The sequence below is a fragment of the Homo sapiens genome, chromosome 15 (genome assembly GCF_000001405.40).
Source record: "Homo sapiens chromosome 15, GRCh38.p14 Primary Assembly".
Taxonomy (NCBI): Eukaryota; Metazoa; Chordata; class Mammalia; order Primates; family Hominidae; genus Homo; species Homo sapiens.
Genome location: NC_000015.10, coordinates 83,336,667 through 83,353,589, shown reverse-complemented (window position 1 = coordinate 83,353,589; position 16,923 = coordinate 83,336,667). Strand labels below are relative to the sequence as shown.

General features: G+C 42.1%; 1 long non-coding RNA gene across 1 annotated transcript; it reads right to left on the bottom strand.

Annotated features, from left to right (window-relative positions):
* Positions 1-3,003: 3,003 nt before the first annotated feature.
* On the bottom strand, positions 3,004-7,948 carry LOC105370933 (uncharacterized). Its single transcript, XR_932544.1, has 3 exons — positions 7,912-7,948; positions 7,339-7,589; positions 3,004-3,199 (listed from the first exon to the last, which is right to left on the bottom strand). It is a non-coding gene; the product is annotated as an uncharacterized LOC105370933 (long non-coding RNA).
* Between the last annotated feature and the right edge of the window lie 8,975 nt (positions 7,949-16,923).

Below are 16,923 nucleotides of genomic sequence, written 5' to 3'. Positions count from 1 at the left end.
TTTTCAGTAGAGACAAGGTTTCGCCATATTGGCCAGGCTGGTCTCGAACTCCTGACCTCGTGATCCGCCCGCCTCAGCCTCCCAAAGTGCTGGGATTACAGGCGTGAGCCACTGGCCCGGCCTAGTTTCTCTTTTTTAATGAAATGCACACTGCCTGACATACATGAACATCATGATTATCTCTCTCACATGCATGGCTATTTAAATTTGTATCTGTACAGATGACGTCAATTTAATCCAAAAAGGTTATCTACTAAAGGGAGCAACTGTTTCATGACAGATAAGGAACAAGAGGAAGCCTATTTGCTCATGACTTTGACGATTTGTAGGTGCCCTTGGGTCCCTGAGAGGAATCTCCTTGCAGGAAATTTGATTCTTACTGAGAACTCAAACCTAGATGCAAGGAAGGACTCTCCTGGGTACCCAGATCTGCTGCCATGGTCAGAAAAAGCATATTAAATGGAGCGTGCTGGAACCGGAGTAGGTGCCTACCTCCTTCCTGTAGGCGTTTGCAGCTGCAACCAGACTACCCTTCCCTTTAGGAATTTGTGATGTTATTACCAGCTCACTCTATGACCTCAGGCTGTGTCTGCCCTTTGTTTACCTTTGTTCTCAAACTGCCAGGTATATAATTCCATGGTTCCCTCAGGTAGCTTCTTGGGAGAAAGTAGATTGCATAAACAAAGGTGTGTATAGCGACGATGGGAGTTGGACCGGCTAGGCAAAGCATTTGATGTGCTAAAGGAACCAAAGCGTGGTCTTCCTTCAGTACAGCTTCCCAGCTAAATTGACAAGTCACTGTTCTGCAACAAATGTCCTTTACTTTCTTTCCCCACCCTCACCCCCATTCCCATGCCTTTACCGACTCAGGTCCTGTTGCCTGAACCTCCATTCCCTGCCTTCTCAGATGAAATGCCTCTCAGGCCCAGCTCACATGCTACCTCAACTCCATGAATGCTGCCTCTATGGTATTCTCTAGAGGTAATTTCTTTCTCCTTTCTGGCACTACATCACTCTCGAAATGCAGCCATTTGCATACTGTCTCACCTACAAATTGCAAAGTCCTCACGAGAAAGACTGTGCATTCTTAATCTTCTTTGTCCTCTATTGTCTTAACACTGAAGAAGGACTCTGTCTTATTTGTTCTGTCTACATCACCCTGGGAATATTTGAGGACAAATTACTGTTTATAGAATATGATGAAATTTAATGAAAGAGGTCTCAATGTTAAGTCTGATTGTGCTGAATATCTAAACATTTTTCTTGACTGAAAGCAAACAAGCAGAGTGATTCTCTTTAGTGCCCTACTGCCCAGAAATGTGACTTAGTAATGTTTCTCTGTCTTCCCTCCCTCCTTCCTCATTCTTTCTGCTGTTTACGTATTACTCCAGCATAGAAAATGGAGACCAGGAGTTGACAATAAGAGCCCAGAGACCAGGGTTCAAATCCCAGCTATGCCTCTTACTAGCTGAGTGATCCTGCACAAGCCATTTAATTTGCCTGGGCTTCAGTTTTTGAACTGTAAATAATGCCATCTGTCTTGCCTATCTCCAGAATGGCTGTGAAAGTTAAGTGAGATGGTGTACATGCAAGTACTTTAAAATGATGCAGTGTTTTCACCGTGTAAAAATCATTGAGCTGTATAGTTAAAACGTGGATGTATATTATATTTTAGTGAAAGGTTCTTTTTTTTTTGTCGCCCAGGCTGCAGGCTGGAGTGCAGTGGCACGATATCGGCTCACTGCCAAGAGCCGCTTCCCGGGTTCACTCCATTCTCCTGCCTCAGCCTCCCGAGTAGCTGGGACTGCAGGCGCCCGCCACCAAGCCCGTTTTTTGTATATTTTTTAGTAGAGACGGGGTTTCACCGTGTTAGCCAGGATGATCTCGATATCCTGACCTCGTGATCCGTCTGTCTCGGCCTCCCAAAGTGCTGGGATTACAGACGTGAACCACCGTGCCCAGCCAGTGAACGGTTCTTTATAGCATTTTGTTCAGACATTTTCAATTGCGTGGCTATTAAACTGATTGCTGAAGAAAAAGGTGAAAGAATGATTTAAAGTTAGCTTTAAGTCATTAATACAGTCTTGAATAGATATTGAGTTTATATGGGAACTAGCCATTTCACTGTACTGCGACAACTCCACATTTTGTTAATTATTACTTCATAAATAAATCTCAGTGTTTTAATTTTACCCTATTCAAATACAATAGAACTACCTTTTGGTAATCTGGGAACTTGTATTTGAAGTCAAATTTAGGAGCTCTTTGTGGAAAAGTATATGATAGAGTAAAGGATGATTTATTATGTTACTCATAAATTTTGTCTTTAAAATAATGCCTGGGATAGACGAGCTATTATAATTGTTTGGTTTTTGTTTGTTTACTGCTATATACTCAGTGCTTTGTACAGTGCCTGAAAAACTGTCCCCATTTATTTGAGAACTAAGGGGTACCCAGAACCCGGGACTTTCAGTGTTAAAGCTGGAAAAGTCCCGGGCAAACTAAGATGATTGGCACATGGAAGATGCTGATATATTCGTGGAAGGAAAGGAGGGAGGAAGGAAGGCAGGCAAGAAATTGGTGAATAAATTTTGGTACTATAGAACCCTCCTTTCCTTGAAATTTTCTAGAACTATATGTCATGTGTGCATATTTTAAATGTTTTAGTATTCATATTTGAAAGCCACTATGCTGCACTTTAAACATCATTACCTGGTAAAATGCCCTCAACAAAGTGGTTACTGTTTGGCAAATATTCCACGACTAGGACCACAGGCAGATGTAAAGATGCGGAAGCTACACACTTTAGACCCAGTTGTCCCAATTCTTTTCTCCTGAATTAAGGATTTAATTACTTAAAAAAAAATTATAAACCAGAGAGAAGATACCTATGTAGACTTTACTGTATCCATGGACAATTAAATTCTAAATGCAGAGTTTTGAGTTTCATGTTGTTCTCCTGGTTAAAGGCATGTAGGGCTGGAAGAGACCTCAGAAACCCCTCCAGCCCCTTCTATTACCAAAGGATAAAGTGAGTCCAGGGTGGGCCAGTGCTGGCCCAGGTCCCCTTGGCAAGTTGGTGGCAAGGCTGGGCTAGGATGATCCTCTGCTTTTCTCTGCAGGGTGCATACCACGTCCCCATATTGCCTCTTCCTTTGATTTTCACTGCACTTGTCCTCCTTGCCTTCAGCCTATGGCGCTTTGGATCAAATTATGAAATCACTTGTCAGATTTGAGGATTTCCTGTGCTTCCAGGGCATGCACACCTACTTCTATTTCAAAACTAGTTGCTCTTACCTAACCCAGCCTCCTAAAAACTCTCCAAAAAATTGGGTACTGTACAGGTCTAATGAGGGTGCCTGAGAATAAGCAATCTAAAAGTATTTTATCCATTAATCTCCAATGACCAGATGTGGGTTTCTACTCCTAATTTGGGGGTAAACACGGATGAATGGGGTCCTACAAATGGGCTGCCCTCTGAACCTGTGACTGATATGACTGTGAAGAGGAACAAATGAAAGTGGAGTGAATATACAGAACAGAGGTGAGAACCAAGCACAATAGAAGAAAGATTAACATAGCAAAACCAACAAGTCTCAAGACAAAAAGATAATGAGCTCAAAATTACAACATGAGTAATGAAATAGTGGACACCACTGTTATGGACTGAAAGTACGTGTCCCCCTAAAATGTATTATGTTGAAGCCCTAACCACCAATGTGTATTTGGAGATGGGCCTTCGGGGAGGTAATTAGGTTTAGATGAGGTCATGAGGGTGGGACCCCAAAGATGGAATTAGTGTCCTCAGAAGAAAATGAAGGGTGGCCAGAGCACCCTCTTTCTCTGCCATTTGAGAACACAGTGACAAGTGTCTGGCTGCAAGCTAGGAAAACAGCCAGACTTTGATTTTGGACTTTCTAGCTTTCAACACTGTGAGAAAATAAAATTTTGTTGTTGAAGCCAATCCACCTGTGGTATTTTCTTACAGCAGCGCAAGCAGACTGATGCAACGATATACACAATTCTTCCAACACCCTGGCCTCTTAGCTCCTTGACTTCTTATTCCCTGTGACCCTGCGTTCTAGCCTACCTAATCACCCACTGCTATCTAAATCACCTGGACCAGGGACTCTCCACCTTGACTGCACATCAGACTCACCTAGAAAGTCTAAAACTCAACACCTGGACATCACCACAGCCCACTGGAATCAGAGTATTTCACAGGGTGGGGCCTGTTATTTAAAAGTTCCCTGGGTGATTCTAGTGTGTGGCCATGATTGAAAAGCACTGCAAACACACTCAAGCAAGTTCAAATCAATAAAATGACAACCTTATATAAAATTAGGCAAAGAAGCCGGCGTGGTGACTCATACCTGTAACCCCAGCACTTTGGGAGGCTGAGGCAAGAGGATCGCTTGAGCCCAGGAGTTCAAGACCACCCTGGGCAACATAGTGGATCCCCATCTCTACAAAAAAATACAAAAATTAGCCAAATGTGGTGGTGTGCGCCTGTAGTCCCAGCTGACTACACTCAGCCAAGTGAGGTTGAGGTGAGAGGATCACCTGAGCCTGGGAGGACGAGGCTGCAGTGAGCTCTGATCTCACCACTGCACTCCAGTCTGGGCAACAGAGCAAGACCCTGCCTCAAAAAATAAAAATAAATTAAAAATTAAAAATAAGCAAAGAATATAAACAAGGAATTTATAGAAGAAATGCAAATGGTTAATAAATGTGTGGGGAAATGTTAATGTTTAACCTCAATAGTGATCAGGGAAATGTAACATTAAATATAGAGCTTTTATATTTCATATATAAATATATACATTTTATAAATATATTTAATATATTGTGCCATTTTAATAATGCAAAAGCCTAGTAATTGTAGAAAGTTCAATAATTGTGGCACATCCACATAATGAAAAATTATTCAGCTACTGATAGAAGGGAGTATAATTGTATGTATTGCCATGGAAAGATACAATATATATCTATACACACATGTATCATATGAGGAATAAAGCAAATCACAGAATAACATCTTCTATAATCTTACTTTTTGTTTTTTTTTTTAGAGATGGGGGTCTCACTACATTGCCCAGGCTAAACTCGAACTCTTGGGCTCAAACGATCCTCCTGCCTCAGGCTCCTGAGTAGCTGGGACTACAGGCACATGCCACCAACCCCAGCTAATCCCATTCTTGGTTAAAAAATGCTCTCATTACATGCGGAGAGACACATAGACTTATATAAGCATAGAAGACTGTCTTAAAAATCCTTTAATAGTAATTACCTTTAGGGAGTTGGAAAGGAAAGTGGGGACTTTCACATTTTGCTTTGTATTTTGTGACTGTTTTTACAATAAACAAGCATATGCTATTTTTGTAGTGTAAATAGTCTGCTGTGAGCTCAAACAGAAGCTTTACAGAAAAAAGCTTTCTGTGCCAGAAGGTTGGGGCCATTTCAAGGCCATCTTTTTACCATCATTTACCCTTAAAAAAAAAATCTTTCAGGAAATCTCACAGATAAGAAAATTTTTGGAAATGTGTTGTTTTCTCCAAATTCCTTTTTAGAATTCTCCTCATTTGGAAAATACTGCTGTACAGGTGATTTGTTCCTGGTATAGGAATTCCCAACCTGTATATTTTGCCATTGATGTTTCTGTTAAGGGGATGTGAGGAGAGTCCTCCATTGCTAAAGATTGAGGAGGAAAATAAGACTGTAAATGTGTCATGAACTGGGAAGAAATGTATGAATGCCACAGAGCTGGAGACTTATGTTCAAAGCATAAGGTTTCTGGCAGAAAAAATAAGGAGGCTGGGCATGGTGGTTCACACCTGTAATCCCAGCAATTTGGGAGGCCCAGGGAGGCGGATCATGAGGCCAGGAGATCGAGACCATCCTGGCCAACATGGTGAAACCCCGGCAACAAAGTGAGACTCTGTCTCAAAAAAATAAAAAAAGGAGCATGTAGAAATGATGCTGGGGAAGTAAATAGGTTTCATCTCACAAACACATACAATCCATGAATTGTGATGCCTGGCACTCAGGTTGGGAAGGCTTTAAGGCCATATTGTGGCTCAACTGTAAAGTCCTCAAGATCAACTGGTAATTTCTGCCATGGACACAGGAAGGGACAATGGGGATGACACATGTAGTATAGTACTCGTGGGAAAAAAAGCAAGAATTAAGAATGATGAAAGTTTACCTTTAGGGTGAAAGATGCAGTGCTGATTCCTTTTATTTATTTTTATTTTCTATTTTTTTGAGACGGGGTCTCACTCTGTTGCCCAGGCTGGAGTGCAATGGCACAATCTTGGCTCACTGCAGCTTCTGCCTCCCAGGTTCAAGCCATTCTCCTGCCTCAGCCTGCCAAGTAGCTGGGATTACAGGTGTGCACCACCACACCCGGCTAATTTTTGTATTTTTACTAGAGACAAGGTTTTACCATGTTAGCCAGGCTAGTCTCAAACTCCTGACCTCAGGTAATCTGCTTGCCTCTGCCTCACAAAGTGCTGGGATTACAGGCGTGAGCCACCATGCCCAGCCTGATTCCTTTTAAATTTTGTTCCAAAAAGAACAAATAAATGATACTCTGCTATAATAACTCAACAATTCAGAACTGTAATTGACAGTAATCAAATGACTTCTCTGTGCTCCACATCTAGCATAATGGTGTAATGCTGAGATTTGAGTTCTTGAAACAGCCACGTGCAACTTGAGAATGCTGATCTGCGTTCATATTTAATTTCGGTTCTCTTAATAAAGAGGTATTCAGAAGTTCTCATTAACTGGCTGATGAAAATGTTCATGGTTCTCTGTGCCAATTTAAGCAATAAATATTTATTTTTACTGAGTCCAAATTGCAAAAGAAAGGAAAGGATAGGAATGGAACCCCAGAGAGGAGGAGCTGATGGTCTGGAATAGGTACAGAAGTTCCCTACTTAAAAAAGATTTTCCATATGCTCTACACCAGTTAGATTAATCCAGTTGAAAATTCAAAAGCCCTCAGAGAGAGTCAAACCTCATTCCAGGCAGTTTGCTGATGTCAGCACTCAGAGAAGAGGAATTTTGATTGGGCAAAGAAGTAAGAAAGACTTCAACCTCACTTGGCCACCTTTGCCGCCACTGTTCTCCATTCCTCTCCATTCCCCTACATGCTAAGCATGCCTTGCTTCCTTGACACTTGATGCTCTCACAAGCTTCCACATTGTGACACGTGCGTTTCCCTCTGCCTAGAACCATCTTCTCTACTAACAATTTCTATTCGCTTAACTTCTCAGCAAAGTCTTGCCTGATTCCCCCCAAATATGAAGGACAGTTAAGAAGGAGAATACTTACTTTGTTTTCCCCTGAAGTTTTTTCACACTGTTTCCCAGGTCCTTTTGGAATAACACAAGCAGCTTATGTGCAAGGAACACTTAGCACTCCCTTGAGGGCGCAAGCCACTCAAGAGCAAGAGCATATCCTCATCCTCATTTCCTCACGATGCTTGGTGTGGTTTAGGGCAATAATCATAGACTCTCTTGCTGTGTGGGCACTCTAAAATATATTCTCAGCAAATGCAAACAGCCAGCTATGGTTTGGTTTTTCTGCAATATAAGAATTTACAAGGGGCAAAAGAGTGACAGATTTAACTGTATGGGGAAAAAACTTTGAGAAATAAAATAGCATAGATTTAAAAGGAAAGCCTTTTTTTTTTTTTTTTTTTTTTTTTTTTTTTTTTTTTTTTGAGACGGAGCCTTGCTCTGTTGCCCAGGCTGGAGTATGGTGGCCCGATCTCGGCTCACTGCAAGCTCCGCCTCCCGGGTTCATGCCATTCTCCTGCCTCAGCCTCCCGAGTAGCTGGGACTACAGGTGCCTGCCACCACACCCGGCTAATTTTTTGTATTTTTAGTAGAGACAGGGTTTCACCTGTTAGCCAGGATGATCTCGATCTCTTGACCTCGTGATCCGCCTGCCTCAGCTTCCAAAGTGCTGGCCTCCCAAAGTGCCGGCCTCTCAAAGTGCCACCGGCACACGCCCGGCCTAAGGAAAGCCATTTTTAAGTATTTATGATAGACTCAATTTTAAAAATAAAGACTGGTCGCAGGCAGTTTACTGAGTAGATACGCAGGCAATTTACTGAGTAAATAGAAGTTTCAAGACAAGTATATAAGACAATTCAGGCTACGTGATATAGTTATTAAAATTAGGATTACATAGACTAATAGAATGTTATATATATATAATTTTTTTATTTTTGAGACGAAGTCTTGCTCTATCACCAGGCAGGAGTGCAGTGGCGCGATCTCAGCTCATTGCAACCTCCATCTCCCAGGTTCAAGCAATTCTCCTACCTCAGCCTCCCGAGTAGCTGGAAGTACAGGTGTGTGGCACGATGCCCGGCTAATTTTTGTATTTTTTATAGAGACAGGGTTTCACCATGTTGGTCAGGATGGTCTCAAACTCCCGACCTCAAGTGATCTGCCCACCTCCGCCTCCCAAATTGCTGGGATTACAGGCGTGAGCCACTGTGCCTGGCGTGATAGAATATTTTTATGAAGTGATGTTAAGGGAAATAATACATCAATTATGGCACCATAGATAGAATTTATGCATGAACAAAGGGCATATTATAAAAGTAAGTCCCCCAAAATAAAAATAAAAACAGAGGTGTGTTTTTATTTAGAAGAATGAGATCATGGGTTATTAACTGCTTCTTTATTACTGTTGTTGGTATAATAAATAAAATTGGGGAGGAGGAACACAGTGAAAAATCTCACTAAACGAATTAACAGTTAATCATATCTGTGGTGTGGGCTCTTAGTTGAACCTTGTAAAAAAGGTATTTCTTTCCACTGGGGGTCAACTTACTCTTAATTTTTTGAATTTTAAATTCTTACATATTTTTTAAAGAGATAAAAATTCTCTGAAAAAGGATTTTCACTTCCAGCAAGGGGAGACCTGCTTAAAACTAGATAATAGTAAGGAAAATACAACCTGTTTGAAGTTGTGCAAGAGCCATGCAGGCAGTGAACCTGAGGGGCCAAGATCCCGGAGAGGAGGGAGACACAGACTAGCAAGCCTGGTGGAGGCACCACTCTTGCTCTTGTCAACTCTAAGGCAACAGCTGAGAGACTGGGCACTCGGCACTGCACAGAAAGCTGTGAAGGAACAACTGAGAAGCTGGGTAGAGCTTACTGCAGTCTCATACAGCTGGGAGGAGTAAATATTCGGGACCACCAGGAAGAAATGGCCATGCATGGTAAACACTCAGGATTTCATTTGAAGCACCTGAAGAACTGAGACTCTAGGAATAAAGGAGACTTGGAAGTAGGCTAGTACTCACCAAGACAAGAGCCCAGCCTTGCCTCATGGTAAAAGATACTAGCACGCTTCTTGTAGTAGTAACTGATAGAATAAGCAGACAAAACATGAGTAACAATATGGGAAGATTTTAACAAACAATCTGATTACACACACACTTTATCTAATAAATGCAGAATGCACATTCTTTTTTAAATTTTCATTTTAGATTCAGGGGGCACATGTGCAGGTGTCTTACAAGGGTATATACTTATGCTGTACTGATCTCATCACCCATATAGTGAACATAGTACCTGATAGAAAGTTCTTCAGCCTTTGCCCCACTTCCCTACCTCCCCTCTTTTGGAGTCTCCAGTGTCTGTTGTTCCCATCTTTATGTTCATGTGTACCCAATGTTTAGCTCCCACTTATAAGTGAGAGCATATGATATTTGGTCCTCTGTTTCTATGTTAATTTGCTTAGGATAATGACCTCTAGCTGCATCCATGCTGCTGCAAAGCACATAATCTCATTCTTTTGTATGGCTGCTTAGTATTCCATGGTGTATATCTACCACATTCTCTTTATCCAATCCACTGTTGATGAGCACCTAGGTTGATTTCATGTCTTTGCTATTGTCTATAGCAAATCCACATTCTTTTCAAGTGTACATGGGAATGCTTTTCCAAAATTGACCATATAATGTTGGTTCAAAAAAAAAATTTATTTTTGAGACAGAGTCTCGCTCTGTTGCCCAGGCTGGAGTGCAGTGGTGCAATATTGGCTCACTGCAGCCTCTGCCTCCTGAGTTCCAGTGATTCTCATGCCTCAGCCTCCCAAGTAGCTGTGATTACAGGCATGCATCACCATGCCTGGCTAATTTTTGTATTTTTAGTAGAGACAGAGTTTCACCATGTTGGCCAGGCTGGTCTCAAACTCCTGACATCAAGTGATCTGACCGCCAAGGCCTCCCAAAGTACTGGGATTACAGGCGTGAGCCACCGCACCCGGTAGGCTCAAAAATTAAGTCTCAACAAATTCCAGCATTTTGGGGTGTGTTTTTTGTTTTTGTTTTTGTTTTTGTTTTTTTGTTTTGAGATAGGGTCTTACTCTGTCACCCAGGCTGGAGTGCAGTGGTACAGTCATGGCTCACTGCAGCCTCAACCTCCCAGGTTCAAGCAACCTTCCCACCTCAGCCTCCTGAGTAGTTGGGACTACAAGTGCGTGCCACTACACCCAGCTAATTTGTTTTTATTTTTTGTAGAGACGGGGGTCTCCCTATGTTGCCTAGGTTGGTCTTGAACTCCTGGGCTCAAGTGATCCTCCCACTTCGGCCTCCCAAAGTGCTGGGATTACAGGCATAAGCCACCACACCCTACCCAGAGTGTTGAGATTATACAGGACATGTTCTAAGATCACAGTAAAAATTACCTATAGATTAGTATCAAAAACATAACTTTTTAAAACTCCCAAATGTTTGGACATTAAGTAATATACATCTAAATAACCTACAGGTCAAAGAAGAACCACAGTGGAAACTGTAAAATAATTTGAATTAAATGATAATAAGTATATGACATCACAATGTGTGGGATGCAGCTAAAGCTAGGCTTAGAAGGAAATTTATGATTTTAAATGCATATATTAGAAAAACAGAAGTCTGGCCAGGCGCGGTGGCTCACGCCTGTAATCCCAGCACTTTGGGAGGCCGAGACAGGTGGATCACGAGGTCAGGAGATTGAGACCATCCTGGATAACATGGTGAAACCCCATCTCTACTAAAAATATAAAAAAATTAGCCGGGCATAGTGGTGGGCACCTGTAGTCGGGAGGCTGAGGCAAGAGAATGGTGTGAACTCAGGAGGCGGAGCTTGCAGTGAGCTGAGATCACACCACTGCACTCCAGCCTGGGCGACAGAGCAAGACTCCGTCTCAAAAAAAAAGAAAAAAAAAAAGTAGAAGGAAGGAAGTGATGAAAATAAGAGCAAAAATTAATGAAGTAAAGAAACAAAGAACAGTTGAGAGATCAAAGAATCAAAAGTTAAGTCTATACAAAGAACAATAAAATTGATAAATCTGTGGCAAGATTAATCAAGAAGAAGGCACAAATAAATCAATATCTGGAATGAAAAAGGATACATCACTATAGTTGTCATAGGCATGAAAATTCTCAACAAGGTAATCTCTCAATCTAATGATATAAAATAATGATGCTAAATTTGAAAACATTTTAAATAGAAATAAAAACGGTAGAATTACTTGAAGACCTCAACAGCTTTTTTTTCTATCTTAAGATGGGAGCCTAGATATATAAATTTTACTTCATTAACCCTGGCTTAATAAGGTACTCAATATACTTCTCATGGCATATAATATCTGGTAAACTAGGGACATCAGCAGTTAGACTTCAGAAAAGATTTAACATTCCCAAAATTATACAGTATAGAAGCCCAAAAAGCTCGAGAGCCTCTTATCTGGACCTCACCTTTAAGGTTGACTATACCTCAAAATATTCGAGAAAAGACTGTAGCACCCCAAATTTCCTCAATCACCAATTAAACTGTCAGTGTAGCCTTGTAATTTTTTGTACATATTTCTGGTGATAGCTTAAATAGCATTAAATCTTTGCTGTGCTATGTGACTAATTTTGAACACCTCTGCAATTAAAACACAAAATGGAGCAGGATGTTTTGATTTATAACCATTGTAAGAGTACTTGTCACTGATTATTGTTCAAATTTTTGTTAACCACCTCATGACATTAGGAATTACAGTTTACAATCACACTGTTCATCAAAATGTTTAACTTGATGGGACAGTAAAGCCCTTTAGATCAGTAACCATCCCTTGAATATTTTAAAAACTCACCTTTTGAGTACAAAAAGCTAAATCAATTCCCTTTTAGCTCTGTGCTTTTCAGCATAGGGGTCCTCTTCTGAATAAAACAATAAATAAACTGAGGTAAAAAATAGCTGAGCAGTATGGTGTGTTCATGCTCGGTGCACTAGAGTAAGAACCTGACAATCAATTTTAGTTCTGATATGTAATTACCGTAGTTCTAAATGTAACTCAGCAAACTTGGGTAGGTCCCTTCCCCTGCTGGGCCTCAGTTTCCTCATCTGAGAGACCTGACAGGAACATTCCAGGTGATCTCTGAGGGAGGGGTCTACCTAAGCTCAACATCAGGGGCACATCCCCCCTTAGTGGAGAAAGCAGTGGAGACTCACTCCCTAAGGCTGGCCCCCAGGAAAATGGGCTCCCATAGGTATCTTGCTAGCCCTAGAGTTAGGTGGGCAGACTGGGGCATGTGAAAACAAAGGGCCCTCTTCCTTGTATTTAAATACCCTGATGTGCAGCAGTGTCATCAGGTGACTCTAAAGCCTCCTCACCCCTACTCCATTTATCTACTTCAGATTATGAGGAATCAGCTTGTCCCATTGTCTTAGGGGCCCTTATATTAGGGTTCTCCAGAGAAATGGGACATATAGAATGTGTAGAGAGTCTGAGAGATTTATTTATTTATTTTTATTTTATTTATTTATTTTTTTGGGGGGGGGGACGGAGTTTCACTCTTGTTGCCCAGGCTGAAGTGCAGTGGCACAATCTTGGCTCACTGCAACCCCTGCCTCCCAGGCTCAAGTGATTCTCGTGCCTCAGCCTCCCGAGTAGCTGGGATGACAAGCATGCACCACCACCCCGGCTAATTTTTGTATTTTTAGTAGAGACGGGGTTTCGCCTTGTTGGCCAGGCTGGTCTTGAACTCCTGACCTCAGGTGATCTGCCCGGCTCGGCCTCCCAAAGTGCTGGGATTACAGGCATGAGCCACTGTGCCCGGCTGAGAGATTTATTTTAAGGAAAAATAAATCTCATGGATTATGGAAGATGGCAAGTCCAAAATCTGCAGGATGGACCAGCAGGCTAGAGACTGAGGGAGGAGCTGATGTTGGAGTTCAAGTCAGAAGTCCATCTGCTGACAGAATTCCCTCTTGCTTGTGGGAGGTCAGTCTTTGTTCTGCTGAGCCTTCAACTGATTGGATGAGGCCCACCCATATTATGGAGGGTAGCCTGCTTTACTCAAAGTCCATTAATTTAAATGTTAATCTCACCCCACAAAAAAATACCCTCACAGAAACATCCACAATAATGTTTGACCAAATACCTGGGCACCATGGCCCAACCAAATTGACATAAAACTAACCATCACAAGTCTACCTTTTGTCAACTTGGCACCCATACACATTTCCTTAAACTATACTTAATCTCCAGATAAAGAGGGTAAAAAGTCATACTTCTACCTAACATGATACAACTATCCTGCATACAATCAAAGAGGCACCAACCCTTTCCCCAGAAGAGGATGCAGACTCCTCGAGTGATGTTTACTCTTCTCTTTGATATCCTATAACTTAAATACTATGATGGAAAGCTAACAATACTTAAATTCTATGATATAAAGTCAATACATCTTATGTTACATGATCAAAGAATAAGAGGAAGAAAGATATTTGTACACACACATAAACATATAACAAAATAAGAAGGAAATGCTTATAACAATTACAGTCCTCCGTTCTGTAACTGACCACATGGTCACAGCTGGTATTTATAACAACCTTCTTCCACTACTCATTCCATATTCCCTTTACCCTCAGCAAGCACCTCAGCTGGTCGTGGTTCTTTACCTGGTGATGGTGACTGAAACTTTCATTCCTCAAAGGTCTGAGCCATGAGTAGTCCTGCCTGGATTGGGTTTTTGTACGAATGTTCCTGGCTTTATAATGGGGCTCAATTTACAATGGGCTTATCTGCATATAGTCCCGTGGTAAGTTTAGGAAAGCACTGAATACCTATTGCTTTGCATGGTAAAGTCAAAAAGTCATAAGTCGAACCATCATAAGTCAGAGACTAACTGTAATTTTCTATTGACTTTAATCACAGAGCATGCTAATACTAAGACATGCTGTAAGGAATCTTACATATTCCAGACATACTCTTCCTTACCTCCATTATGGAGTAGCAGTCCAATCTCTCCTTTGTAGTCAGGATCAATCACCTCCACAAGCACAGTAACTTTCTTTGCCTGTTAATTTAGAGGTCTGAGAAGCCCAAAGTGGCCAGGTGGCAGTCTTAACTTCTTGTTGAATGGGATAATTGCTGTCTCCTGGTGGAAGCATTCCTCCACTTAGACCTAAGACATTTAGGCTAGCAGAGCAAAAGGTCACAGGGACAAAGGAAAAATTTTGTTAGTGGGTCACTAGGGGTGATAGTAACCTCTTGATTTCTGGACCTGTGATTCATGGCTATGGGAGAAAGAGTACTAATATTGGACACTGATTCTCAGCATATACAGCTTCCTGGAGAACCTTGCCCCAGTCCAACAAGGTAATGTCACCTACCTGGCACTGTGACTGAGTCTTCTAAAGGCCATTCCACCATCCTATCAATCCAGCTGCTTCAGGATGGTGGGGAACATGGTAAAACCAGTGAATTCCACAAGCATGGGGCTCATTACCACACTTCATTCAAGTGAAGCAAGTTCCTCAATCTCACAGCTGTGCTGTGTGTAATACTGTGATGTTGGATAAAGTATCCTATAAGTTCACAGATGGTATTTTGGCAGAAGTATTGCATGCAATGGAAGGCAAATCCATATTCAGAGTAAGAGTCTATTCCATTAAGGATGAAATGTTGGCCTTTCCATGATGGAAGGGGTCCAGTGTAATCAACCAGCTGCCAGGTAGGCAGCTGGTCACCCCAGAGAATGGTGCCATATCAAGGAGTCAGTGTTGGTTTATTCTGCTGGCAGATTGGGCACTCAGTGGTGGCTCTAGGCAGGTTGGCCTTGCTGAATGAAAGTCGTCGTTGCTGAGCCCATGCATAACCTTCATCCCTATCACCATGGCCACTTCATTCAGGAACCACTGGGCAATGACAGAAGGGGCTAAGGAAAGAGGCTGACTGATAGCCACAGACAAGTCATCTTAGCCACTTGATGATCAAAATCCTCTGCTGAGGCCACCCTTCGATAGGCATTAATATAGAATACAAATATCTTCACATTTTTTGCTCATTCATAGAGGTCTGTCCACATACCTCTTCCCCAAATTTTCTTGTCATCAGTTTTCTAATCATGTTCCTTCCAAGTTCCTGACTATCGAGCCAAACCATGGCCACAGCCATGAATCAGTATAGAATCACATGTCCGACCATTCCTCCTTTCAACCACAGTGAACAACCAGGTACATCACTCAAAGTTATGCCCACTTGGAGGACTTCCCTCCACCACTGTCCTTCAGGGATGATCCAGAAAGGGACAGGCACACAAGGCCCACCCTATTCCAGCCCCTGATTACTTCTCCAGCATCACCTGTTATCACTGCCCCTGAAATTCCCTGCTGGAGTCCCCAGAGACACTTCCTCTTTCCAGACTTTGCCATGTTCTTTAGTAACTCTAGGCCTTCATCTATTCATTTATTCATTAATTCATTTGTTCATGTGTTCAGTTAGTATGCATCATTGGTGGGAGGACAACTTGGTCTTCACAGAAAAAAATGTGTTAAATAAGTCAGTACATCAACAAACAATGACTGGTGAAATAGGGAATGCGCTGGGACCGGGGAACAAATACCTAATCTATGGGGTCAAAAAAGACCTCCCAGAAGAGGAAACATTTAAACTGAGATCTGAAGAATACGTAGGCATCAGCCAGGTGAAAAGAATCAGAAGGATGTTTTGCCAGAGGAGGCAGGATGTATGAAATCCTGGGAGTCAGAGCCACTGTGATGAAGCTCCAAAAACAAAAATGAGTGCAGCAAAACTTGAGTAGAAAATGCCAGGGAAGAACAGTAACAACCGTGGCTTAAGAGGTGGGTGGGGCCAGGCCCTACAGCCTTGTAACCCATCCTGAGCAGTCTCAGAAGCTATTGAAGAGCATTCAGTGGAGGGGATTGATATAGATTTGCATTTTAGAAAGATCTTTCAGACGTGTAGCAGGGAATATGCATTGGAGGAGGAGAAGGAAGAGGAGGACAAACTATGGAATAGGGAGACATGAGACATCTGGAAGCTGATATAATATTCTAGCCAATCCAGGCGCGGTGGCTCACGCCTGTAATCCCAGCACTTTGGGAGGCCTAGGCGGGCGGATCACGAGGTCAGGAGTTAGAGAGCAGCCTCGCCAACATGGCGAAACCCAGTCTCTACTAAAAATACAAAAATTAGCTTGGTGCGGTGGCACACGCCTGAAATCCCAGCTACTCCGGAGGCTGAAGCAGTAGAATCGCTTGAACCCGGGAGGCGTAGGTTGCAGTGAGCCGAGACCGCGCCATTGCACTCCAACCTGGGCAACAAAGCGAGACTCCGTCTAAAAAAAAAAATTCTAGCCAAGAGATAATAGAAGCCTGGGAGATATGGATAAATTTTAGAGATATTTAGTAGGAGACATACAAAAACTCGATGAATGATTAGATGTGGAGGCTTGGGGTCATGCAGGAATATTTCTAGGTTTCTGGTTTAGGCAACTGGCTGAAGAGTGAGTCTCTTGCTACTGAGGTGTTTGCTGTTTATTCCCAGAGCCTGGGAAATATTTATTAAATGAATCAATGAACGAATGGAAGAATACGGACAATCATTTTCAAA